This window comes from Homo sapiens, chromosome 7 (genome assembly GCF_000001405.40).
Source record: "Homo sapiens chromosome 7, GRCh38.p14 Primary Assembly".
Lineage (NCBI taxonomy): Eukaryota > Metazoa > Chordata > Mammalia > Primates > Hominidae > Homo > Homo sapiens.
The window spans coordinates 56,064,286-56,089,823 of NC_000007.14; the positions used below are offsets into that span (position 1 = coordinate 56,064,286).

Here is a 25,538-nt window from a genome sequence, read left to right on the forward strand (position 1 = left end):
GTACGCGGCGCAGCGCGGCAGTCCTGATGGCCCGGCATGGGTTACCGCTGCTGCCCCTGCTGTCGCTCCTGGTCGGCGCGTGGCTCAAGCTAGGTCAGTGAACCGGCCGTCCATCCTGGGGGCGCTGGGAAGGGGATGGGGCGCTCCGCCCTGACGGGAGAGAGCCTTAGGCCCTTCTGCCGGCTTCCGGGATGCGGCTGCAGCGGCAGGCTGGGGAGGTAGCTCTCGGTGCGCGTGGCGCCTCACCGCCTTATACTTTTCAACTTCTTGTTGTGGAATCTTTCAAACCTAAAAAAGGGAAAGAGAGGCCGGGCGCGGTGGCTCGAGCCTGTAATCCCAGCACTTTGGGAGGCCGAGGCGGGTGGATCACTTGAGGTCAGGAGTTGGAGACCAGCCTGGCCAACGTGAAACCCTGTCTCTACAAAAATACAAAAACAAAAAAACACAACTATCCGGGCGTGGCGGCGGGTGCCTGTAATCCCAGCTACTCGGGAGGCTGAGACAGGAGACTCGCTTGAACCCAGGAGGCGGAGGTTGCAGTGAGCCGAGATCGTGCCATTGCATTCCAGCCTGGGCGACAGATCGATACTTTATCTCAAAAAAAAAAAAAAAAAAAAAAAAAAAAGGCCGGACGCGGTGGCTCACGCCTGTAATCCCAGCACTTTGGGAGGCCGAGGCGGGCGGATCACGAGGTCAGGAAATCGAGACCATCCTGGCTAACACAGTGAAACCCCGTCTCTACTAAAAATTCAAAAAATTAGCCGGGCGTGATGGCGGGCGCTTGTAGTCCCAGCTACTAGGGAGGCTGAGGCAGGAGAATGGCGTGAACCCCGGGGGGTGGAGCCTGCAGTGAGCGGAGATAGCGCCACTGCACTCCAGCCTGGGCGACAGCGAGACTCCGTCTCAAAAAAAAAAAAAAAAAAAAAAGGAAAAAGGAGAATATAACGAGGAACGACCCCCGCCCCCACGTACTCGGCCAGCTTAAATAGCTGCCAGTTTGTGGCCAGTCCTGCTCCTGCGGAATCGCACACTCCCCCTCTCCTGGAGCCATTTGGAAGTGGGTCCAGACATTATCCCATTTTATTCTAGGGATTTATTAAGCTTGAATAGTCAAACCGTTTCTCACCTAAAAAATTGACAGTGCTTCTTAATAATATATTCAGTCTGTTCAGATTCATCTATTATCTCATAAATGGTTTTTAACGTTTGCTGGCTGAATTAGGGACAAAATAAAGCTCATACATTGCAATTGTATGTTATTTCTTAATTCCGATTCAATCTGAGATTTCCCTACTTACTCCTTTTATTTATTTATTTATTTATTTTTGGTGGGGCGGGGGGCAAGGTCTCGACGTGTTGCCCAGGCTGGAGTGAATGGTTCCATCATAGCTGACTGCAGCCTCAAGCAATCCCTGCCTCAGTTTCCCAAAGTGCTGGGATTACAGGCGTAAGCCACCACGCCAGGATGATCCGTTTTTTCCCTTTGCAATATATTTGTGAAAGAAACTGAAAATGGGCCAGGTGAGGTGGCTCACGCTTGAAATCCCAGCACTTTAAGAGCCTGAGGCGGGCGGATCACGAGGTCAGGAGTTCGAGCAGCCTGCCCAACATGGTGAAACCCCGTCTCTACTAAAAATACAAAAAAATTAGCCGGGCGTGGTGGCGGGCGCCTGTAGTCCCAGCTATTCAGGAGGCTGAGGCGGGAGAATCGCTTGAACCCAGGAGGCGGAGGTTGCAGTTTTCCGAGATCGGGCCACTGCACTCTGACCGGGACAACAGAGCAAGGCTCCGCCTCACAAAAAAAAAAAAAAAAAAAAAAATCAAAAACAAAACAAAACAAAAAAAACGAAAAACTGAAAATGGATGAAATCACTGAGAGTGTGTCAGAATAAGAGATCCAAAGATAGGATCTTGAGGAACATCAAAAGACAAGGACTCTGCCTTGAAAGAAGTTGTAGTGCTTAGACATCCTTTCTTGGAAAGACACTGTGAAGTGGTGCATCAGCTGAAGCAGTATGGCTTATTGGAAACAGCACCGTAAAGAGACCTAAATCTAGTCCTGTCTCCTGCTAACCAGCTCTTTAAGTCATATTTCTTTTTTGGATCTTGGTTTGCTCCTGTGGAATAAGGAGGTTGAAGCAAAGATCCTTTTTTATTTTTTATTTATTTATTTATTTTGAGACAGAGTCTTGCTGTGTCCCTCCAGGCTGGAGTGCAGTGGCGCGATCTTGGTTCACTGCAACCTCCGCCCCCCCAGGTTCAAGTGATTCTCCTGCCTCAGCTTCCGGAGTAGTTGGGATTACAGGTGTACACCATCATACCTGGCTTATTTTTGGTTTTGTTTGTTTCTTTGAGACGGAGTCTCGCTCCTGTCGCCCAGGCCGGAGTGCAGTGGCGTGATCTCGGCTCACTGCAACCTCCGCCTCCCGGGTGCAAGCGATTCTCCTGCCTCAGCCTCCTGAGAGCTGGGATTACAGGCACCTGACACCACGCCTGGCTGATTTTTGTATTTTTAGTAGAGATGGGGTTTCGCCATGTTGGCCAGACTGGTCTCCAACTCCTGACCTCAGGTAATCTGCCCGCCTCGGCCTCCCAAAGTGCTGGGATTCCAGGTGTGAGCCATCGCACCTGGCCAGTCCTTTTTAATTCTATGATTTTCTGAGGCATTCATACAAGTCTAAAGGTGCTCATTCAACTATTTGGCAATAATTATGCACTTATGGCAGAGGCCAGGGATATACTGTCATATATGTATTATATGCTTCTCTTCTGGCTCATATAATGGTGAGAATCACTAAGAACTGATAAGAGTTCAGTAAGTGGAGAGGAAGAGGCAGAGAAACAGCATGAGCAGAAGGATGGAAAGAAAGTGCTAGATGTATTTTAGGATAGAGTGTCTAAATTCACCTAGCTGGGACAAGGGCTTGTGTAGAGGAAGAAAAGGACTTGTGTAGAGGAAGAAAGAGGTAAGTGCAAATCTACCATGTGTTCAACATTTCACCCATGCTATCTTATTGTTATTATTATCTTTTTATTTTTTATTTTTTGAGACAGGGTCTCACTCTGTCACCCAGGCTGGAGTGCAGTGACACAATGATAGCTCACTACAACCTTGAACTCCTGGGCTCAAGCAATCCTCCTGCCTTAGCCTCTGCACCCTGTCTCTGAGCCATTGCTCCTGGTTCCATGTTATTTTAATTGATACAGCTGCTACCTAAGAGATAGTGAGATATTATCCCTATTTTTCATACTTATTTTTTCTTTTATTAATAAGCTATGGTCGTCCATAGATATCCCCATTTTTCAGATGAAGAAATTGAATCTCAGCTGGGCGTGCTGGCTCACACCTATAATCCCAGCACTTTGGGAGGCTGAGGTGGAAGGATCATTTGAGCTCAGGAGTTTGAGACCAGCCTGGGCGACATAACAAAACCCCATCTCTACAAAAAATACAAAAATTAGCCAGGTGTGGTGGTGCACACTTGTGGTCCCAGCTACTCAGGAGGCTGAGGTGGGAGGATTGCTTGAGCTGACGGGGGCAGAGGTTGCAGTGAACCCAGAGTGCACCACTGCACTCCAGTCTGGGTGACACAGCGAGATCCTGTCACGAAAAAAAAAAAAAAAAAGACAAGAAATTGAATCTCAGATTAAGTAATTTGCCTAAGGTTTCCCAGCAAATTAAGTGGCAGAACAAGAATGTGAAGCCAAACAAACAAAACGCAAAAGGAATTTTCTTTTTTTCTTTCTTTTTTTTTTTTTTTTTTTTTGAGACAGAGTCTCGCTCTGTTGCCCAGGTGGAGTGCAGTGGCACACTCTCGGCTCACTGCAAGCTCCGCCTCCCGGGTTTACACCATTCTCCTGCCTCAGCCTCCCAAGTAGCTGGGACTACAGGCGACTGCCACCACGCCCGGCTAATTTTTTTTTTTGTATTTTTAGTAGAGAAGGGGTTTCACCGTGTTAGCCAGGATGGTCTTGATCTGACCTCGTCATCTACCCGCCTCGGCCTCTCAAAGTGCTGGGATTACAGGTGTGAGCCACCGTGCCCAGCCCAAAAGGAATTTAAAGCCAGATTTTTAAGCCTCCACATTTTTTGTTGTGTTTTGTTATACCATCATGAGTATTGCATATGATCCAAATATTACCACTTGTTTTATATATATGCATGTATTACTGGTAACTCTCTTTTTTCTCTGCAGGAAATGGACAGGCTACTAGCATGGTCCAACTGCAGGGTGGGAGATTCCTGATGGGAACAAATTCTCCAGACAGCAGAGATGGTGACGGGCCTGTGCGGGAGGCGACAGTGAAACCCTTTGCCATCGACATATTTCCTGTCACCAACAAAGATTTCAGGTACATCAGGTATTCTTCCAGGAGGAATGAAGACCCTCTCTAATCTCATTCTTTTTTCTTTCTTTTTTTTTTTTTTGTTTTTTGAGACTGACTCCCTCTGTCACCCAGGTGCTGGAGTGCAGTGGCGCAATCTCGCTCACTGCAACCTCCACCTCCCGGGTTCAAGCAATTCTCCTGCCTTCGCCTGCCGAGCAGCTGGAATTACAGGTGTTCACCACCACGCCCGGCTAATTTTTTTTTTTTTGTATTTTTTTAGTAGAGACGGGGTTTCTCCATGTTGGCCAGGCTGGGCTCGAACTCCTGACCTCAACTATCTGCCCACCTCAGCCTCCCAAAGTGCTGGGATTACAGGCATGAGCCACTGCACTTGGCCTCATTCTTAATATCTAAAGGAAAACTAACTTGTTCACTGTCACGTGTCATCTTTGCAGTGTACTATGGGATATGTTATTCAGATGAAGAACCTGAAATCCAAAGAGGTTTGACTGACTCTCTCAGTTAGTGGATGAGCTTGGCCTGGAACTCAAATCCCTGGGCTCTTGAGCCAGTGCATTTTCCATTACACTGGGCATAGCACTGAGAAATATAAGCAAACGCCAGTCACTCAACAGAAACCTCTTCTACATGGGGAAGGGATTGGGAGAAGGGACATCATAGTAGAGAGTCCTTTAAATTCCCCTTATAGGCCAGGTGTGCTGGCTCACACCTGCAATGTGAGCACTTTGGGAGGCCGAGGTGGGAGGATTGCTTGAGCTCAGGAGTCTGAGACCAGGCTGGTAACATAGGGAGACCCTATCTCTGCTAAAATAAATAAATAAGTAAATAAGTATATAAATATACATACACACACATATATATATAAATACATATATATAACAATCCATCTTACCCTGACAGTCTGCCCCCTGAAACTTACTAAACCATACCAAAGTATATGAAAATTCATTTTATTATTATTATTGTTATTGTTATTATTTTTTTGAGACAGGGTCTGGCTCTGTCACCCAGGCTGAAGTTCAGTGGTATGATCTCAGCTCGCTGCAGCCTCTGCGTCCCAGGCTCAAACCATCACCTGGGACTACAGGTGCGCACTATCACACCCAGCTTATTTTGTTTTGTATTTTTGGTAGAGACAGGGTTTTGCCCTGTTGCCCAGGCTGGTCTCGAACTCCTGGGCTCAAATGATCCTTCTGCCGTGGCCTCCCAAAATGCTGGGATTATAGGTGTGACCCACCATGCCTGGCCTTGAAAATCCATTTTATTTATTTGTATTTATTTATTTATTTAGAGACACAGTTTTCCTCTTGTTGCCTAGGCTGGAGTGCAATGGTGCGATCTCAGCTCACCACAACCTCCACCTCCTGGGTTCAAGCGATTCTCCTACCTCAGCCTCCTGAGTAGCTGGGATTACAGGCATGCACCACCACGCCCAGCTATTTTTTGTATTTTTAGTAGAGACAGGGTTTCTCCATGTTGGTCAGGCTGGTCTTGAACTCTTGACCTCAGGTGATCCACCTGCCTTGGCCTCCTGAAGTGTTGGGATTACAGCTGTGAGCCACCACGCCCGGCCAAAAATCCATTTTAAAAGCCCAATTTTTCACTTCTATTTGGTTCAGTGTTTTTCACCTCTTAAATGGAGTTAATAACAATAACACCTGTTACATCTATCTCTGATGGTTGTTGTGAGATGAGATATGTGATGAAGGGCTGGATGCAGTGGCTCACGTCTGTAATCCCAACAATTTGGGAGGCTGAGGTGGGAGGATCACTTGAGCCCAGGAGTTCGAGACCATCCTGGGCAACACAGACCCCCATCTCTACTAAAAATTAAAAAAAAAAAAATTAGCCCTTCATGGTAGCACACACTTGTAGTCTCAGCTATTAGGGAGGTTGAGGCAGGAGGATCACTTGAGTGTGGAAGGTTGAGGCTGTAGTGAGCCATGATTGCACCACTGCACTCCAGCCTGGGCAACAGAGAGACATCCTTTCTCAAAAAAAAGAAAAAAAAAAAAGATGTGCTGGAGACCTTTCAGAAAAGAGACACATTCCCCACCCTTAAATCTCCTGCTCCAGTGGCTTTATTCATGATCTCCAAAAACAGGAGATAACTCACATGATCTTCAGCTGGTAAGTGTATGAACAAAATATGGTATGTCCATACAATAAGATACTACTCATCGATAAAAAGGGACAGACTACTAATGGCAACAACATGGATGAATCTCAGAAGCCTTTTGCTAAGTGAAGGAAACCTCCGCCAGACCCAGAAGACTACATACTGTATGATTCAAGTTATATGGTGTTCTGGGAAAGGCAAAACTATAGGGACAAAAAAACCTGGTCCGTGGTTGGTGAGTTGCAGGGAAATTTTTTTGGAGGTGACCGATGGAACTATTCTGTATCTTGATTATTGTAGTGACTATATGCTTTGTCAAACTCACAGAACTGCTGAGCACAGTGGCTCATGCCTGTAGTCCCAACACTTTGGGAGTCCGAGGTGTGTGGATCACTTGAGCTCAGAATTTTTAGACCAGCCTGGGCAACATAGTGAGACCCCATCTCTACAAAATTAGCTAGGCATGGTGGCATGCACCTGTAGTCACAGCTACTTGGGAGGCTGAGGAGGGAAAATTGCTTGGGCCCAGGAGGTCAAGGCTGCAGTGAGCTGTGATTATGCCACTGCACTGCAGTCTGGGTGACAGAGTGAGACCCAGTCTCAAAATATAAATAATTAAAATAAATCAGGAGGCTGAGGCACGAGAATCTCTTGAACCCAGGAGGTCGATGCTACAGTAAGCCATGATTGTGCCACTGCACTCCAGCCTGGGTGACAGAGTGAGACCTGGTGTCAAAAAAATAAATGATTGGTTGGGCGCAGTGGCTCACACCTGTAATCCCAGCACTTTGGGAGGCTGAGGCAGGCAGATCACAAGGTCAGGAGTTCAAGACCAACCTGACCAACATGGTGAAACCCCATCACTACTAAAAATACAAAAATTAGCCGGGTGTGCTGGCATACACCTGTAATCCCAGCTACTCAGGAGGCTGAGGCAAGATTATCGCTTGAACCCAGGAGGTAGAGGTTGCAGTGAGCTGAGTTCATGCCACTGCACTCAAGCCTGGGCCATAGAGTGAGACTCCGTCTAAAAATAAATAAATAAATAAATAAATAAATAATTAAATAAAAAATAATTTGGGCACAGTGGCTCATGCCTGCAATCCCAGCACTTTGGGAGGCCGAGGCGGGCAGATCATGAAGTCAGGAGTTTGAGACCAGCCTGGCCAACATGGTGAAACCCGTCTCTACTAAAAAGACAAAAATTAGTGGGCATGGTGGTGTGCACCTGTAATCCCAGCTACTGGGGAAGCTGAGGCAAGAGAATCGCTTGAACCCAGGAGGTGGAGGTTGCAGTGAGCTGAGATTGCACCACTGCACTCCAGCCTGGGCAACAGTCTTTTTGAGACAGAGCAAGACTCTGTCTCAAAAAAAAAAAAAAAAAATATTGGCCAAGTGTTGTGCCTCACACCTGTAATCCCAACACTTTGGGAGGCCACTTTGGGTGGATCACCTGAAGTTAGGAGTTCGAGACCAGCCTGGCTAACATTGCGAAACCCTATCTTTACAAAAAATACAAAAATTAGCTGGGCGTGGTGGTATACGTCTGTAATCCCAGCTACTTAAGAGACTGAGGCTAGAGAATCACTTGAACCTGGGAGGTGGAGGTTGCAGTGAGCTGAGATTGTGTCACTGCACTCCAGCCTGGGCAACAGAGTGAGACTTTGTCTCAAAAAAATAAATAAATAGGACAGGTGTGGTGGCTCACGCCTGTAATCTCAGCCCTTTGGGAGGCCGAGGCAGGTGGATCACTAGGTCAGGAGTTCGAGACCAGCCTGGCCAACATGGTGAAACCCTGTCACTACTAAAAATACAAAAATTACCTGGGCGTGGTGGCAGACGCCTGTAATCCCAGCTACTTGGGAGGCTGAGGCAGGAGAATGGCGTGAAACCGGGAGGCGGAGCTTGCAGTGAGCCGAGATCACACCATTGCACTCCAGCCTGGGCGACAGAGTGAGACTCCATCTCTAAATAAATACACAAATAAACAAACAAATAAAATAAAAAATTAATTAACCTCACAGAACTAAACACTGAAGAGAGTGAATTTTACTGTATGTGAATTCGTTGTATTCTAATTTAAAAGAAAATCACTCAGGCTTCAGGTTAATTCCTTGGCAATCATGAACACTCTGTGGTGTATAACTTACAGGACAGGGATATCTGAAGTTTCCTGGAGCAGGAGAAGATGGGGTGGGCACAGAACCTCACCAGCTGAACCAGCTGAACTATGTCTTTATAGGGATTTTGTCAGGGAGAAAAAGTATCGGACAGAAGCTGAGATGTTTGGATGGAGCTTTGTCTTTGAGGACTTTGTCTCTGATGAGCTGAGAAACAAAGCCACCCAGCCAATGAAGGTGAGAGAACCTGGTCTTGCAGCTGAGGGGATAGGAGTGGGACCTGGACAGGGAATCCTGTGGGACATGGGTTACCTGGGACACAGTGGAGAATCAGACCTGAGAGGTGGAGGCAGAGGGGAAGCAAGAGAAACTCACCATGGAGCGTCAGATCAGTACACACTCCCAGGAAGTTAACCCTGAACCCAAGTTAGCTCTTGCCTAAATGTCCAAGTCAGGATAGGATCCAAGGAACTTGAATCAAGAGATCACCTTGGTGGGCCGAGCGTGGTGTCTCATGCCTATAATCTCAGCACTTTGAGAGGCTGAGGTGAGTGGATCACCTGAGGTCAGGAGTTCAAGACCAACATGGCGAAACCCCGTCTATACTAAAAATACAAAAATTAGACAGGCATGGTGGCACGCTCCTGTAATCTGAGCTACTCAGGAGGCTGAGGCATGAGAATCGCTTGAACCTGGAAGGCAGAGGTTGCAGTGAGCCGAGATGGCGCCACTGCACTCCAGCCTGGGTGACAGAGTGAGACTGTGTCTCAAAAGAAAAAAAAAAAGAGAGATCACCTTGGCAAGCCAACCTCTAATAAGGGTGGTAAGATGGGCTCTATAAAGATTCCAGTCTCAGCTGGGCGCAGCAGCTCACGCCTGTAACCCCAGCACTTTGGGAGGCCGAGGTGGGACAATTGCTTGAGCCCAAGAATTCAAGACCAGCCTGGGCAACATAGATCCCATATCTACAAAAAAAAGAAAAAAAAGAAAATTAGCTGGGCATGGTCATGCACACCTGTAGTCCCAGCTACTCAGGAGGTTGAGGTGGGAGGATTACCTGAGTCCAGGAGGTTGAGACTGCAGTGAGCTCTGATGGTGCCACTGCACTCTAGCCTGAGTGACAGAGCAAGATCTTGTCTCAAAAAAAAAAAAAAAAAAAAAAAAAAAAAATCAGCCACAACCTCACTTAGACCACCTGAGTCTCAGCCTGACGTCTCTGTTCTGCGTCCTGTGGCTCAGTCGGGGAGGTGCCTTTGCTGGGCCGGAGCATCTTGCAGTCGGTCTCCTTCTTTTTCGCAGTCTGTACTCTGGTGGCTTCCAGTGGAAAAGGCATTTTGGAGGCAGGTAAGGGCTGATTCCGCTACCTCATTTTCTACCCCTGCTTGACTCTTATTCTCCAGGCCCAGCCTCCTCTCTACCCCTCGTACATCCAGGAACACTGAGTTTCAAAGAAGGATAGGGGAATATCAGGGAAAGCGCTCAGCAGGCCTGTTTCACCTGCCCGAATCCTGTTTCCTGTTACCCATCCATTTCTCCCTTCAGCCTCCTGTAGTCTCTTTTTTCTGACTCCGACCACTGGTCACTCACCCGGCTCTCTTCCAGCTCTCTTGCTCCATCTAGTGGTAAAAGCTGAACGCGGGCGCCCTAAACCTAGCCTGCCTCCGACTTAATGCGCTCCCGGAAGCCTGTCTCACTTAATCCTGGCTGTCAGCCTGCAGGTCCTGGCTCTGGCATCCGAGAGAGACTGGAGCACCCAGTGTTACACGTGAGCTGGAATGACGCCCGTGCCTACTGTGCTTGGCGGGGAAAACGACTGCCCACGGAGGAAGAGTGGGAGTTTGCCGCCCGAGGGGGCTTGAAGGGTATCCAGATGATAAGGCGATTTTCCTTTATTCTTCTCCCCATCCTGCCCAGCATGAGGGGCTTTAAAGGGTGGAAAGGGGCTGGGCGCAGTGGCTTATGCCTGTAATCCCAACACTTTGGGAGGCTGGGGCAGGAGGATCGCTTGAGGCCAGGAGTAAAAGACTAGCCTGGGCAATATAGGGAGACCCTGTCTCTCCGAAAAATACAAAAATGAGCTGGGCCTGGTGGCATGTGCCTGTAGTCCCAGCTACTCAGGAGGCTGAGGTGGGAAGATCCTTTGAGCCTAGGAGTTCAAAGCTGCGGCGAGCTATGATCGCACCACTGCTGTCTGGCCTGAGTGACAGAACAAGACCCTGTCTCAAAAGAAAAAGCGGGGGGATGGGGCAGGAAGGGTCTGTGTTCCCTAGAGCAGTGCTTCTTAAGCTATCTGTGGTGGAGGACCAGTGTTTTTTTTTTTTTTTAATTTCTAGTCCATCTCAGACTGATATAAAATACCATAAAAATTAATAACTGGAAAATTGAAAGAACAGACATAAAATATTTTATTGGAAATTCCACAGACATGTTACATTTCAATAAATATAACTAGAGCAACATAGCATAAGGAAAAAGAATTACCAAGACTACACACTTCTGCCTCTGGGGTACAGAGATTAATGTTAAGAGTCACTGTTTGCGGCCGGGCGCAGTGGCTCACGCCTGTAATCAAAGCACTTTGGGAGGCCGAGGTGGGTGGATCACGAGGTCAGGAGGTTGAGACCATCCTGGCTAACACAGTGAAACCCCGTCTCTACTAAAAATACAAAAAAAAATTAGCTGGGCTTGGTGGCGGGCGCCTGTAGTCCCAGCTACTTGGGAGGCTGAGGCAGGGGAATGGCGTGAACCTGGCAGGTGGAGGTTGCAGTGAGCCGAGATCACGCCACTGCACTCCAGCCTGGGCGACAGAGTAAGACTCCGTCTCAAAAAAAAAAAAAAAGAATCACTGTTTGCTCCTAACTCGGTCATTTGTCATTCTGCAATCCTAATTACACAAAAAGTTAGGACAGCAAAAAGCAACTCCGCACATTAAACCCCTCTACACAATCTTTCAGTGAACACCAGGTACATCAGTGATCAAAGTTTTTTGTTTTTTGTTTTTTGTTTTGAGACAGTCTAGCTCTGTCGCCCAAGGCTGGAGTACAGTGGCACGATCTCAGCTCCCTGCAACCTCCGCCTCCCGGGTTCAAGGGATTCTCCTGCCTCAGCCTCCCTAGTACCTGGGATTACAGGCACCTGCCACCATGCCCGGCTATTTTTTTTTTTTTTTTGAGACAGAGTGTCGCTGTGTCGCCCAGGCTGGAGTATGGTGGCGCGATCGCGGCTCACTGCAAGCTCCGCCTCCCGGGTTCACGCCATTCTCCTGCCTCAGCCTCCCAAGTAGCTGGGACTACAGGCGCCCGCCACCTCGCCCGGCTAATTTTTTGTATTTTTAGTAGAGACGGGGTTTCACCGTGTTAGCCAGGATGATCTCGATCTCCTGACCTCCTGATCCGTCTGCCTTGGCCTCCCAAAGTGCTGGGATTACAGGCGTGAGCCACCATGCCCTGCATAATTTTTGTATTTTTAGTAGAGACAGGATTTCACTGTGTTGGCCAGGCTGGTCTCGAACTCCTGACCTCGTGATCCATCTGCCTCGGTCTCCCAAAGTGCTGGGATTACAAGTGTGAGCCACCGCGACCAGCCAGTGATCGAAGTTTTTAATATGACCTGTGAGGTTGCCTCTGGCTCATTCATTTATGCAATCTAAGTCCAATTTCAAGTTTCTCGATTTCTGTACTTTTCTCAACATGAACTGATAACAGATGCTTTATAAACTGGCTCAGGTCCCAGAACCATGCTTAGGATTACATTGCCCTGGAGCACATGAGGAGGCCAGGGCCCTCTAATGCAGTTCAGCGAGTGGAGAGGATGGGCATGGCAAATAAAAGCAGGTCATTCACTCTTTTTTCTCATCACCCTCTAACTTCCTTTTGATTCCCTCACTCTTTCTGTGTTCTTTTTTCCTTCCCTAATTCTTCACCTCCCCCTCCTCTGCTGCCTCCTTGCTCTCCTCGCAGGTCAAGTTTACCCATGGGGGAACTGGTTCCAGCCAAACCGCACCAACCTGTGGCAGGTAAGACCTACGTTCCTCCTTTCACCAAGCATTGACAGAGACCTGCTGGAGGCTGGGCACTGTGTTGTTAGGCCGCGGCATCCAGAAGGCTTGGGTTCTAATGCAACTGATGACTCATAAGCTGGTAAAGCAAAAGACAATGGGTCATAAGTGCTTTCTTTTTTTTTTTTTTTTTGAGACAGAGTCTCTCTCTGTTGCCCACGCTGGAGTGCAGTGGTGCGATCTTGGCTCACTGCAACCTCCGCCTCCCAGGTTCAAGCGATTCTCCTGCCCCAGTCTCCCAAGTAGTTGGGATTACAGGTGCCTGCCACCATGCCCAGCTAATTTTTTTGTATTTTTAGTAGAGATGGGGTTTTGCCATGTTGGCCAGGCTGGTCTCAAACTCCTGACCTCAGGTGATCCACCCGCCTTGGCCTCCTAAAGTGCTGGGATTACAGGCATGAGCCACCGTGCCCAGCCAGCGTAAGTACTTTCTATTAAAGAGTTGTAGGGCTGGGTGCAGTGGCTCACGCCTGTAATCCCAGCACTTTGGGAGGCCGAGGCGGGTGGATCACCTGAGGTCAGGAGTTCAAGACCAGCCTGGCCAATATGGTGAAACCCTGCTTCTACAAAAAATAAAAGATGAGCTGGGCATGGTGGCATGCACCTGTAATCCCAGCTGCTTGGGGCTTGGGCAGGAGAATCACTTGAACCCAGGAGGCGGAGGTTGCAGTGAGCTACCACTGTACTCTAGCCTTGGCGACAGAACGAGACCCTGCCTCAAAAAAAAAAAAGTGAATAAAAAATAAAACTAAAATAAGCAAATAAAAAAGCACTGTCCTGAGAAGGCCAGCAGGAATAGGCTGCAGTGCTCAGGCATGAGACATGGGGGCAGGATGCAGAGGATCCTGTCTTCTTGAGGCACTGTGGCATGTGGGGTTCCAGGCAGAGGGCAGGATGTTGCTGAGAGTGGAGAAGTCAGGTGTGGGCTGGGCTTGACCTGGAGCCCTGTGGGTACAGGGGAAACACTCTTCCTAATCCAGCAGTGGGGGTCACCCTGGGGATGTAAGGTGATGGGTTTGGGAGCTCTAGATAGGAATCTTAGGTCACCGCCCCGTGCCCTTCCCCTTCCCCAGATGCAACAGCAAGACGACCTTGGTTTTCCTCTGGATAGGCATGAGGACCTGCTTTGGGACAGGTGGTAAATCCTTTACCCTTCCTTTCTCCCATCAGGGAAAGTTCCCCAAGGGAGACAAAGCTGAGGATGGCTTCCATGGAGTCTCCCCAGTGAATGCTTTCCCCGCCCAGAACAACTACGGTAAGAGCTGTCTTGGGCTTGCGGCTGTGCCCATGAACTGGCTGTTGGGACCATCATGTCTGAGAGAGGAGGCAGAGGGAAGCACCTCCCTTCTGCCATTTGGCCCCCAGGACCTCAGAGGGTAGGCGGGGTGGTCGGCGGGTCCCAGCCTGGCCTGACCCGCCGGTGGGGCTGCAGGGCTCTATGACCTCCTGGGGAACGTGTGGGAGTGGACAGCATCACCGTACCAGGCTGCTGAGCAGGACATGCGCGTCCTCCGGGGGGCATCCTGGATCGACACAGCTGATGGCTCTGCCAATCACCGGGCCCGGGTCACCACCAGGTAAGGGGCTTGGTCCCAGGCAACACGGGGCCTTGTAGCTGGGGGCTGATGTCTGAATCCCGGTCCCAGAGTGTCCCTACCTTCACACCACCAACCGTCTGTGTGTGATGAGCTGGTCCCAGCACCTCCCTGAGCCTGTGCCCAGTTGTGGGTACAAAAAAGAAAGCCAGCAGCACTTGCTATGAAAAGCAAAGGGACCCAGGACACCTTGTGACTCTCCTGCCAGCTCTTGGTACCCAGGGAGACTGTGTGTGGCATCTTAATTATGGGGTTTCTCCTCTTGTCCTTACCACTAGGTGGGCAAAGGGAGGGAAGTAGAATGACCACACCAGTAGGTCATTACTGGTGGTCATGGACTTACTGACTCTTCAAACTGGTGGGCACACGAAAAATCTTTTTTTTTTTTGAGACAGAGTCTTGCTCTGTTGTCCAGGCTGGAGTGCAGTGGCACAGTCTCAGCTCACTACAGCCTCAAACTGCCAGGCTCTAGCGATTCTTCCACCTCAGCTCCTCAAGTATCTGGGACTACAGGTGCGGCTAATTTTTGTAGAGATGAGTTTTTGCCATGCTGCCTAGGTTTGTCTCATACTCCTGGACTCAAGCAATCAGCCCGCCTTGGCCTCCCAGAATGCTAGGATTACAGGTGTGAGCCACTGCACCCGGCCGTGATATTCTCATTGCTTGTGGACAGGTTTTCTCTACTGAGCTGTTGTCAACTGCTAACATAGAAGTTAGTCACTGTCTTTTCTGCTCTTCAGTGCTGTCTCTTGGGGCCACTGTCCCTCCCCCTACTCTTGCAAGACTCCTTTTGTCCCAAAGCCCCTTCTTGTCCCCTTTCTCCCAGGACTGGCACAGGCTCAGGACCTGTCCTCACACCAGGCTTCTTTCCAGACCATGCTCTCCCCAGCCCTCATGCTCCCTGATCATGGCCGGCCCTGCGGATGAGGCAGGCAAGATGGGTAAGCCCTAGGCCTTTTTCTCAGGACGTGTCTGTCCTCTCTCCCCTTCTCTGCTGGCAGGATGGGCAACACTCCAGATTCAGCCTCAGACAACCTCGGTTTCCGCTGTGCTGCAGACGCAGGCCGGCCGCCAGGGGAGCTGTAAGCAGCCGGGTGGTGACAAGGAGAAAAGCCTTCTAGGGTCACTGTCATTCCCTGGCCATGTTGCAAACAGCGCAATTCCAAGCTCGAGAGCTTCAGCCTCAGGAAAGAACTTCCCCTTCCCTGTCTCCCATCCCTCTGTGGCAGGCGCCTCTCACCAGGGCAGGAGAGGACTCAGCCTCCTGTGTTTTGGAGAAGGGGCCCAATGTGTGTTGACGATGGCTGGGGGCCAGGTGTTTCTGTTAGAGGCCAAGTATTATTGACACAGGATTGCAAACACACAAACAATTGGAACAGAGCACTCTGAAAGGCCATTTTTTAAGCATTTTAAAATCTATTCTCTCCCCCTTTCTCCCTGGATGATTCAGGAAGCTGACATTGTTTCCTCAAGGCAGAATTTTCCTGGTTCTGTTTTCTCAGCCAGTTGCTGTGGAAGGAGAATGCTTTCTTTGTGGCCTCATCTGTGGTTTCGTGTCCCTCTGAAGGAAACTAGTTTCCACTGTGTAACAGGCAGACATGTAACTATTTAAAGCACAGTTCAGTCCTAAAAGGGTCTGGGAGAACCAGATGATGTACTAGGTGAAGCATTGCATTGTGGGAATCACAAAGCAAATAGTACTCCAGAAAGACAAATATCAGAAGCTTCCTATTCTTTTTTTTTTTTTTTTTTTTTTTGAGACAGGGTCTTTCTCTGTTGCCCAGGCTAGAGTGCACTGGTGATCACGGCTCACTCTAGCCTTGAATTCCTGGGCCCAAGCAATTCTCCCACCTCAGCCTCCTGAGTAGCTGGGACTACAAGTGTGCACCACCATGCCTGGCTAATTTTTTGAATTTTTGTAGTGATGGGATCTCGCTCTGTTGCCCAGGGTGGTCTCGAACTCCTGGCCTCAAGCGATCCTCCCACCTCGACCTCCCAAAGTGCTGGGATTACAGGTGTGAGCCACCTCGCCTGGGCCCCCTTCTCCATATGCCTCCAAAAACATGTCCCTGGAGAGTAGCCTGCTCCCACACTGTCACTGGATGTCATGGGGCCAATAAAATCTCCTGCAATTGTGTATCTCAGACATTTGTGTCTTTGATCCTCACCCTGTGACCCTAAGGGAAGAAAGCCTGAGTGTCAGTAACTCTGGGCCTCCCCTAAAGAGAAATGGAGATGGTGGCTCATCTAGGAAGTAGAGGAGCAGGGGGTTCCTGGTTCTCAGGCCACGTGTGATCTCTGCCCACCCAGGGCCTGCCCCAGCCTGCAGGTATTGCTGTGTGGTGGGAACACCCACTTCCCTTGTGCACAGCCTTTGAGAGGGGATCGTGGCCTCAGTTCCAGGGGTTCCTGGCCAGGGCCAAGTGCTCCTTCTGCAGAGGCCTGCACGCATCTCACCCCTTTGACTTGTATTTCCATGGCTTCCCCTCCCCACCTGCCCCCTAGCCCTCCCTGACTGGCCAGCCCCTCAGTAGTCCTCCTCGGCCAGGGAGAGGAGCACGGCCTTGGGTGTGTTCTCGAAAAGGGCTGCCCGGTTCTGCTGCTGCCCCTTCTTCACCCAGTGGCCATAGATTCGGAAAGCGTAGGCGTCGATGAGCCGGCGCAGAGGCCGGAGGGCATAGGGGTCTCGGATGACGATCTCCCGGGTCACAGGCTTCACCCGGCGGTACTGGTAGTAGATCCGCACTGAAGCCAGCACGGTCAGAGCGATCACCTGCAGGGCCAGGCGGAGAAGCTGGGCTGCAGCCCCCGCCCTGCCAGGCCCTGCCCCTCCAGCACAGGGACGCTCTGGGCTCGTTTGCCACGAAGCCTTGGGTGGCTTCTGCGGGGCCTTCCTAGTGTCCCCCACTTCCCACTTGGCCAGCATCCTCAGGGACCGAGCCAGTGGGCTGACACCTGCCGTCTTTGAAGCCATCACAGGGCAGCTGGGAGGGGAGGGATGGGTACTCTGGAAATTCACGGGGTGTAAGGACTCCTGGGAGAGGAGGGGGCTTAGAGGTTTGCACTTAGGGAGCTGGCGGGCCTGGATCAGGACGCTTAGTACCTTGAACTTCCCCCGGGGGCTGAAGTGCCGCACTTCCTCCACCAAGTACTGCTGGAAGAAGGGGTGTGCCAAGGCCTCTTCCGCTGTGTAGCGGTTCTGGGGTTGCACCACCAGGAATCGGGAGACCTGTGAGAGGAGGAGAGGGGAACCGAGAATGTCAAGGCAGGTCCCCTCCAGCATGTCAGGAAAGGCAGGGCCTCCCCGGGCAGGGGCGCCTGGCATCGCAGCCCTGAGCCCAGGAGCCAGTTGGCCTGGCCTCTCACCAGGTCCTTCACGGTGTCCGAGTAATCATCCCACTCGGGCGAGCCAAACTGGTAGTTGCCGCTCATGATCATCCTCAGCATCAGCATCTGCTTCCGGTGCCAGAAGGGCGGGGAGCCGGCCAGCAGCGTGTACATGATGACGCCAGTGCTCCACCTGGACATGCGAGGGCCCAGGGCCACTTACCCAGCGCCAGGGGCACCGGCCCAGCCCTGCCTACTTCCTCCCTTGCCCAGCCTAGCTGGGTGCTCCTCCTTTCCCGGCGCACTCACATGTCCACCTCTTTCCCGTAGCCCGGGTGGTCCTCATTCATGGAGCACTCGATAATCTCAGGGGCCAGGTAACTGGGGGTCCCGCAGACCTCTGCAGGAACAGTCATCATCAGGGCAGGTCAGCAGGGCACTCAGAAGAGGAAGTCCAGGCTGGCCGCAGTGGCTCATTTCTATAATCCTAGCACTTTGGGAGGCCGAGGCAGGTGGCTCATCTGAGGCCAGGAGTTCGAGACCAGCCTGGCCAACATGGCGAAACTCCATCTCTACTAAAAATACAAAAATTAGCTGGGCGTGGTGGCATGTGCCTGTAGTCCCAGCTACTCAGGAGGCTGAGACAGGAGAATCGCTTGAACCTGGGAGGTGGAGTTTGCAGTGAGCTGAGATCGCCCCACTTCACTCCAGCCTGGTGACAGAGTGAGACTCTGTTTCAAAAAAAAAAGAGAGGAAGTCCAAAGAGACAATGGAGATGATGGAACAGAAATGGCGCTCGGGCTGGGACTCCCCCAACATCCACCAACTTCAGGGCCCAGGGCAGGGCGGGATACTGCCCACAGGGCCACCAGCTCATGGCCCATTGCTTCCCTGGTCACTTCTAGCCATCCTGGCCTGGAACAAGGGTAATGGGAACCTGGGAGAGGACTTACCTGAAGAAATGCCTAGCCCTGCTGGGCATGGTGGCTCACGCCTGTAATCACAGCACTTTGGGAGGCCGAGGCGGGCGGATCGTAAGGTCAGGAGTTCGAGACCAGCCTGACCAACATGGTGAAACCCTGTCTCTACTAAAAATACAAAAATTAGCCGAGCGTTGTGGCGCGTGCCTGCAATCACAGCTACTCAGGAGGTTGAGGCAGGAGAATCACTTGAACTCGGGAGGTGGAAGTTGCAGTGAGCCGAGATTGTGCCACTGCACTCCAGCCTGGGCGACAGAGTGAGACTCCATCTCAAAAAAAAAAAAAAAGAAAGAAAAAGAAAAAAAAATCCCTAGCCCTTGAAATGGTGGAATTTTTATTCCAGGGAACAATTAAGTTAGGGGAGAAACCCAGACCATCTCTATTCTGCAGATGGTTGATTGAGCACCCGAGGCCTGGACGTGGGCCAAGGCCATGTTACCAGACCTCGCAGCCTCTCTCCCGGCTCCAGCTGGCAGGAAAAGCCAAAGTCTGTGAGCTTGATGTTCATGTTGTCATCCAAGAGAATGTTCTCGGGCTTCAGGTCCCGGTGCACGATGTTGAGTTTGTGCAAGGTGCAGATCACCTCCAGCAGAGCTCGCATGATCTTTCTAGGGTGGGGCACACACTTGTTACTCTTCCTCTGCTCAGGGTCAGGTAACAGGCAGGGAGACACAGCTCACATTTCAGCCACACTGCAAGGGAGCAGCACACACGCCCAGCCCAGACATGTGCACGCCCTGCCTCCCCTGAGACCCCAGTGCCTGTGGCCCTAAGCCACGTGGGAGGGAGCGGAGAGAAGGGCAAAGGGACCCTCACCTGGTTTCCTTCTCACTCAAGGTGACCTTCTCAGTGAGGTAGTCAAAGAGCTCCCCTCTCTTCATCCTGTGGAAACAGAGGGTTGATAGCTGGATCGGTCCCAAGACCACCACTGCCCTTACCCTGCTCCCAGAGAGCTGCCTTCCACCCTGATACCTCTAGAAGCTAAGTGGGCCACTCTCCGTGGAGAACCACAGTCTGGGGAGAGGAGCCGGGGAAGTGAGAAGTGTTCTGGAAGAACTGGGAGAAAAGCAGAGGAGGCTGGAGAGGTGGCCCACATCAGGGGCTCAGGCTCTCATCAACCCTCCGAGGAATAGGCCTAGGTTTCTCCCCTGACTGAATTTTTCCCCTGGAAAAATTTTTCCCACCATTTCATGAGGTAGGCATTTCTTCAGCTAAGTCCCCTCCCCAGGTTCCCATTACCCTAGTTCCAGGCCAGGATGGCTAGAAGTGACCAGGGAAGCAATGGGCCCCGAGCTGGTGGCCCTGTGAGCAGTACCTTGCCCTGCCCTGGGCCCTGAAGTTGGTGGACTTGGGAGAGTCCCAGCCCAAGCACCATTTCTGTTCCATCTCCATTGTATCAGTGTCTTCCCATCTGTGGAAGTGACAGTGTGGACTGGGATGTATCGGGGCCTAAATGATGGCTGGAGGCTGAAAGAGGGGACTATGAACCACTGGCCCAGGACCCCAGACCCAGATCAGAAGGACGTGAGTATCCCGATTTTTTTTTTTTTTTTTTTTTGAGATGGAGTTTTTGCTCATCACCCAGGCTGGAGTGCAATGATGCAATCTCGGCTCACTGCAACCTCTGCCTCCCAGGTTCAAGCAATTCTCCTACCTCAGCCTCCCGAGTAGCTGGGATTACAGGTGCCCACTACCACACCCAGCTAATTTTTGTATTTTTAGTAGAGACAGCGTTTCATCATGTTGCCCAGGCTGGTCTTCAACTCCTGACCTCAGGTGATCACCCGTCTCAGCCTCCCAAAGTGTTGGGATTACAGGCGTGAGCCACCACGCCTGGCCGAGTATCCCGATTTTTTCCCAGGAAACAAATGGGAAGAATCGGCTGTGCAAGAGTTGCAGGAGCAAAGTTTGCCAATTACAGGATTAAGAATTGAGGTTCAATCTTCTTACCTCCTGGGATGATCTAGAAAGGACTCTGCTAGAACAATCTAGTTATACCCTGGAGGGCTCCTCAGGGCAGCATTAAAAATAGCTTCCCCCAGCAACTTCTTCAAAGGTTAAAGACATTTGAGCTGTCCCCAAGGGCTATACAGGACAGTGCCACAGAGCAGTCGAGACAGCTGCAGCTGGTGAGTCTGGAGGGGTCCGAGAAAGTCTTCCTCTGTTGCCCAGGCTGGAGTGCAGTGGCACGATCTCAGCTAACTGCAACCTCTGCTTCCTGGGTTCATGCCATTCTTGTGCCTCATCCTCCTGAGTGACTGGGATTACAGATATCTGTCACCATCCTGGGCTAACTTTTGTATTTTTTGTAGAGATGGGGTTTTGCCATGTTGCCCAGGCTGGTCTCGAACTCCCGGCTTCATCTGATCCGCCTGCCTCAGCCTCCCAAAGTACTGGGATTACAGGGGTGAACCACCATGCCTGGCCTTAATTTTATATTTTTTTGTAGAGATGGGGTCTCACTTTGTTGCCCAGGCTGGTCTCAAACTCCTGGCCTCAAGCAATCCTCCCACCACAGCCTCCCAAAGTGTTGAGATTACAGGTGTGAGGCACTGTGCCTGGCCCATGATAAGTCTGGAATTTGCATTTCACAGAGCACTTTGTATTGTTCACATTTGATGCTTAGAAATAAGGGGCTCATCTTACTAATCCTATTGATGCCAAAGCAGGGGCATGATGATGGTGATGATGGTGGTGATGGTGATGATGATATTGATCTTTGGACCACACCCCAGATGCAACCTCTACCACCTGCCTCTCTCCTCAATACTGCTGGCCTCCCTTTTTCCAATCCCGCCTCATTACAGTCGTCCCTAGATAGTCAGTGAGATCTTTTCAAAAGGAAGTCAGCCTGGGCGCAGTGGCTCACGCCTGTAATCCCAGCACTTTGGGAGGCCGAGGCGAGTGGATCACTTGAGGTCAGGAGTTCGAGACCAGACTGGCCAACATGGCAAAACCCTGTCTCTACTAAAACAGTACACACATAAAAAATTTGCTGGGCATGGTGGTGGGTGCCTGTAATCCCAGCTACTTGGGAGACTGAGGCAGGAGAATCACTTGAACCCAGGAGACGGAGGTTGCAGTGAGCCGAGATCGCACCACTATACTCCAGCCTGGGCGACAATAGCAAAACTCTGTCTCAAAAAAAAAAAAAAAAGTAAATCAGATCATGTCACCCTCCCAGTCTTGACCCTCCAAACTCCTTACTATGGCTAAAATGCCTGCAGGACCTGGTCTTTGGTGCTGACCGACCTTACATCCTGCCACCCTCTGCTTGGGTCACTTCCTGGACATGCTTTCCTGACCACTCGGTCTAAGGAAGCCCCTGTCTCTTGCTAACCCCTTGTTCTACTTTATATATGTCTACAGTCATCCCTCTTTATCTGCATAGGATATGTTCCAAGACCCCCAGTGGATGCCTGAAACCATGGATAGCACTGAAGCCTATACTTACTATGTTTTTCCTATATGTACATACCTAAGATGAAGTTTATAAGTTAGGCACAGTCAGAGACTAACAACCAATAATAAAATAGAACAATTATATCACTATACTGTGCCAGGCACGGTGGCTTATGCCTGTAATCCCAGCACTTTGGGAGGCCGAGGTGGGAGAATCACGTGAGGCCAAGAGTTTTGGGGTTTTTTTTGTTTTGTTTTGTTTTTGTTTTTGAGATGGAGTTTCGCTCTCGTAGCCCAGGCTGGAGTTCAACGGCGTGATCTCGGCTCACTTCAACCTCCGCCTCCTGGGTTCAAGCGATTCTCCTGCCTCAGCCTCCCGCGTAGCTGGGGCCTCAGCCTCCCAAACTGCTGGGATTACGGTTGTGAGCCACTGCGCCCGCCTGTAGCTAATAATTATTAGTATTCACACTATGCCAGTCACTGTGCTATTATCACTCCCATAATACTGATGAGAAAACCAAGATTTAAAGAAATGATCCAGCCCACAAGTGGTGAACCCAGGTTTCCAAAGCCGGCAGCCTGACCCCAGGGGCTGATCTGTCTAAACACCGTGATTGTATTTGGCATCCTCAGCGCAGGAGCTGGCTGTGGTCTCCAGGCAGCCCTGGGGTTGGGGAGGGGACAGCAGTCGGAGGTTCTCTCAGGTGTGGCTTGCTCCAGTGCTGGGTACTTACAGGTCAAACACCAAGAAGAAGAAAGTGTTGGTCTCATAAGTGTCCTTCAGCTGTACTGAAATGGAAATGGCTAGCTTGTCTCAAGTAGCAGGGGAGCCCAGGCAGGGGCAGCCGGGGCACGGGGGTCAGGGACCGAGGCTGCTGTGGGCTAACTTCAAAAGCTGACAGGGGAATCAGGAGGGTGCTCAAAGACGTCAACCTGGGATGTGGGCAGGCCCAGGGACTTTATTATTATTATTATTATTATTATTATTATTATTATTATTATTAGAGACAGGATCTCACTGTCTCACCCAGGCTGGAGTGTAATAGTGCAATCATAACTCACTGCAGCCTCAAACTACTGGGCTTGAGTGATGCTCCTGCTTCAGCCTCCCGAGTGGCTGGGATTACAGGCATGCACCAGCATGCCTGGCTAATTCAGCCCAGGGACATCAAACCCCCATTCCCCTGCCTGCATCCATCCCTGCCTGGGACCCCTTCTATCAGAGCAGTGAGGGTGGAGCTGGGAGCCTTGAGCCTGGGTGGTTCTAGTTGGCTGTGCGGTGGGGCCACACTCCCTGGCTTGGGCTGTCAGGGCAGAATCACAGGGGGGCACCCTGCCGTGTGGCTTGGGGCCATCACTCACTGATGTTGGGGTGCCCTGAGACCTTGCGCAGGATGTCCACCTCCTTCAGCGTGGCTTCTCGCAGCTCCCGCACCTCCTCCGGGCTGAAGCTGCCTCCACCGGTGACGTCGATGACCTTCACGGCGTACTCCTGGCTCGTGGGCTTGTGGATGCATCGCCTGACCACACTGCTAACGCCCCTGGGAGTGCAGAGGACAGATGGCCTCGGGGGGCCCCTCACCCCATGGGGGGTCCCAGATTAGAGGCTGCAGCAGAGATGTCCTGCCCTTGACAGAGATTTACACTTTCCCCCAACTTCCTCTGAGCTTTTGGAAATGGTGGATGAATAAATACAGGCACAGACAGGTGATTTGCCCAGAACTGGTGAGTAACAAGCCTGCTCTCAGGCCGTGTGACTCTTTTTTTTTTTTTTTTTTCCTTTTTGAGCCGTTCAGTGCTTTTTTTTTTTTTTTTTTTGAGACGGAGTCTCGCTCTATTGCCAGGCTGGAGTGCAGTGGCACAATCTTAGCTCACTGCAACCTCCACCTCCCGGGTTCAAGCAATTCTCTTGCCTCAGCCTCCTGAGTAGCTGGGACTACAGGTACCTGCCACCACACAGAGCTAATTTTTGTATTTTTACTGGAGATGGGGTTTCAACATGTTGGCCAGGCTGGTCTCAAACTCCTGATCTCAGGTGATCCTCCTGCCTTGGCCTCCCTGGTATTGCAGGAAGTGCTGCTATTGCAGGCATGAGCCACTGTGCCTGGCCCCCCCTTTTTAAAAAAAAAAATAGAGATGGTTAGCCAGACCTGGTGGCACATACCTGTTGTCCCAGCTACTAGGGAGGCTGAGGTGGGAGGATCACTTGAGCCTAGGAGGCAGAGATCGTAGTGAGTCAAGATCATGCCACTGTACTCCAACCTGGATGACAGGGCAAGACCCTATCTTAAAAAAAAAAAAAAAAGATACGGGGTCTTGCTATGTTGCCCAGGCTGATCTTGAACTCTTGGCCTCAAGCAATCCTCCCACCTCAGCCTCCCAAAGTGCTGGGATTACAGGTGTGAGCCATTGCGCCTGCCCCTGGGAACTTTTTGCTGGGAGAGGTTTCTCTTATCTGTCCTGGCTTCAGGAGGGCAGGACCCCAAACAAAGGGTTTCTCCAAGTGAACAGCACTTTGGGGATGAAAGTGGCGTTAGTACTCGGGGTGGAGCAGAGCTGGCTGTAGCCCACAGGGTCTGCTGGAGCCTAGGACAGCACTTCGTGGGGAAAGCTTGGGCTTTACCTGCCCAGGATCTCTTTGGGCTCATAATTCTCATAGAAGTCCTGTGCAGAATGAGAGTCCGGCAGTGCCTCGTCCCGGGTCATGCTCAGATCTTCAGTGAGGGAACTCTGGGTGGCTCTGAGAGGGGAAAAGAAAGAAGCTGTCAGCCTTCCTGACCCAGGGGCTGTTCTCCTTGGGGTCTGGAACTGTTTCTCACTCATCCTTACATCTCCTGGCACTACACTGGCCTATAGTGAATGTTCCAAATAAATGTTTGTGAATTGAGGCCGTTCGTGGTGGCTCACACCTATAATCCCAGACTTTGGGAGGCTGAGGCAGATAGATCACTTGAGGCCAGGATTTCGAGACCAGCCTGGCCAACATGGTGAAACCTCATCTCTACTATACAAAAATTAGCCGGATGTGGTGGCACACGCTTGTAGTCTCAGCTACTTGGGAGGCTGAGGCAGGAGAATCGCTTGAACCCAGGAGGCAGAGGTTGCAGTGAGCCGAGATCGCATCACTGCCCTCCAGCCTGGGCGACACAGCCAGACTCCGGCTCAAAAAAAAAAAAATCTTTGTAGAGATGGGGTCATGCTCTGTTACCCATCTCTGTACCAGAGTGCAGTGGTACGATTATAGCTCACTGCCGGCTCAACCACCTGGGCTCAAGCGATCCTCACACCCTAGCCTCCTGAGTAGCTAGGACTAAAGTATCCCCCAGGCTGGAGTGCAGTGGCACAATCTTGGCTCTCAGCTCACTGCACCCTCCACCTCCCAGGTTCAAGCGATTCTCCTGCCTCAGCCTCCCAAGAAGCTGGAATTACAAGCACCTACCACCACGCCTGGCTAATTGTTGTATTTTTATTAGAGACAGGGTTTCGCCATGTTGGCCAGGCTGGTCTCGAACTCCTGACCTCAGGTGATCCTCCCACCTTGGTCTCCCAAAGTGCTGGGATTAAAGGCGTGAAACACCATGCCAGGCC

At 50.9% G+C, this 25,538-nt stretch overlaps 2 protein-coding genes across 22 annotated transcripts in view, besides 4 other annotated features; one reads left to right on the top strand and one right to left on the bottom strand.

Annotated features, from left to right (window-relative positions):
• Positions 1 to 23,661, top strand: SUMF2 (sulfatase modifying factor 2). Of its 14 annotated transcripts, none has more exons than XM_047420120.1 (10): positions 1 to 93; positions 4,197 to 4,353; positions 8,712 to 8,826; positions 9,889 to 9,933; positions 10,301 to 10,451; positions 12,549 to 12,604; positions 13,817 to 13,901; positions 14,079 to 14,223; positions 15,068 to 15,182; positions 23,377 to 23,661. In XM_047420120.1, the coding sequence occupies exons 1-9, from the start codon at positions 27 to 29 to the stop codon at positions 15,144 to 15,146; spliced, it is 900 nt and encodes a 299-aa protein (XP_047276076.1). In that variant the 5' UTR covers positions 1 to 26; the 3' UTR covers positions 15,147 to 15,182; positions 23,377 to 23,661. The 14 variants fall into 14 exon arrangements, with proteins under 14 accessions (XP_047276076.1, NP_001353577.1, XP_047276078.1 ...); NM_001366648.2 differs by lacking the exons at positions 15,068 to 15,182; positions 23,377 to 23,661 and adding exons at positions 14,637 to 14,754; positions 15,243 to 16,385; XM_047420122.1 differs by lacking the exon at positions 9,889 to 9,933.
• Positions 164 to 263: an enhancer, noted in NCBI's record as "active region_26050". NCBI's record gives its function as "activates an Ori minimal core promoter by ATAC-STARR-seq in GM12878 lymphoblastoid cells {active_cell/tissue: GM12878}" and the evidence as "EXISTENCE:reporter gene assay evidence [ECO:0000049][PMID:35858748]".
• Positions 891 to 1,185: a silencer, noted in NCBI's record as "tiled region #7863; K562 Repressive non-DNase unmatched - State 1:Tss". NCBI's record gives its function as "represses a minimal TATA promoter and a strong SV40 promoter by Sharpr-MPRA in K562 cells {active_cell/tissue: K562}" and the evidence as "EXISTENCE:reporter gene assay evidence [ECO:0000049][PMID:27701403]".
• Positions 9,918 to 10,147: an enhancer, noted in NCBI's record as "active region_26051". NCBI's record gives its function as "activates an Ori minimal core promoter by ATAC-STARR-seq in GM12878 lymphoblastoid cells {active_cell/tissue: GM12878}" and the evidence as "EXISTENCE:reporter gene assay evidence [ECO:0000049][PMID:35858748]".
• Positions 10,198 to 10,287: an enhancer, noted in NCBI's record as "active region_26052". NCBI's record gives its function as "activates an Ori minimal core promoter by ATAC-STARR-seq in GM12878 lymphoblastoid cells {active_cell/tissue: GM12878}" and the evidence as "EXISTENCE:reporter gene assay evidence [ECO:0000049][PMID:35858748]".
• The window catches only part of PHKG1 (phosphorylase kinase catalytic subunit gamma 1), a 12,658-nt gene continuing 3,129 nt past the window's right edge, over positions 16,010 to 25,538 (bottom strand). Inside the window, exons 2-11 of one of the 8 annotated variants that reach the window (XM_017012324.3) lie at positions 24,574 to 24,690; positions 23,313 to 23,491; positions 22,685 to 22,739; positions 19,365 to 19,430; positions 18,993 to 19,156; positions 18,522 to 18,656; positions 17,878 to 17,968; positions 17,608 to 17,761; positions 17,345 to 17,470; positions 16,010 to 17,014 (exon numbers count right to left, since the gene is read on the bottom strand). In XM_017012324.3, coding sequence (XP_016867813.1) covers positions 16,769 to 17,014; positions 17,345 to 17,470; positions 17,608 to 17,761; positions 17,878 to 17,968; positions 18,522 to 18,656; positions 18,993 to 19,156; positions 19,365 to 19,430; positions 22,685 to 22,739; positions 23,313 to 23,491; positions 24,574 to 24,656 — 1,299 coding nt within the window. In that variant the 5' untranslated portion in view covers positions 24,657 to 24,690 and the 3' untranslated portion in view covers positions 16,010 to 16,768. Of the gene's footprint in view, positions 17,015 to 17,344; positions 17,471 to 17,607; positions 17,762 to 17,877; positions 17,969 to 18,521; positions 18,657 to 18,992; positions 19,157 to 19,364; positions 19,431 to 19,520; positions 22,135 to 22,684; positions 22,740 to 23,312; positions 23,492 to 24,573; positions 24,691 to 25,538 lie in introns of those variants that run through there. The other 7 variants (NM_001258459.2, NM_001258460.2, NM_006213.5 and 4 more) reach the window with 7 other exon arrangements.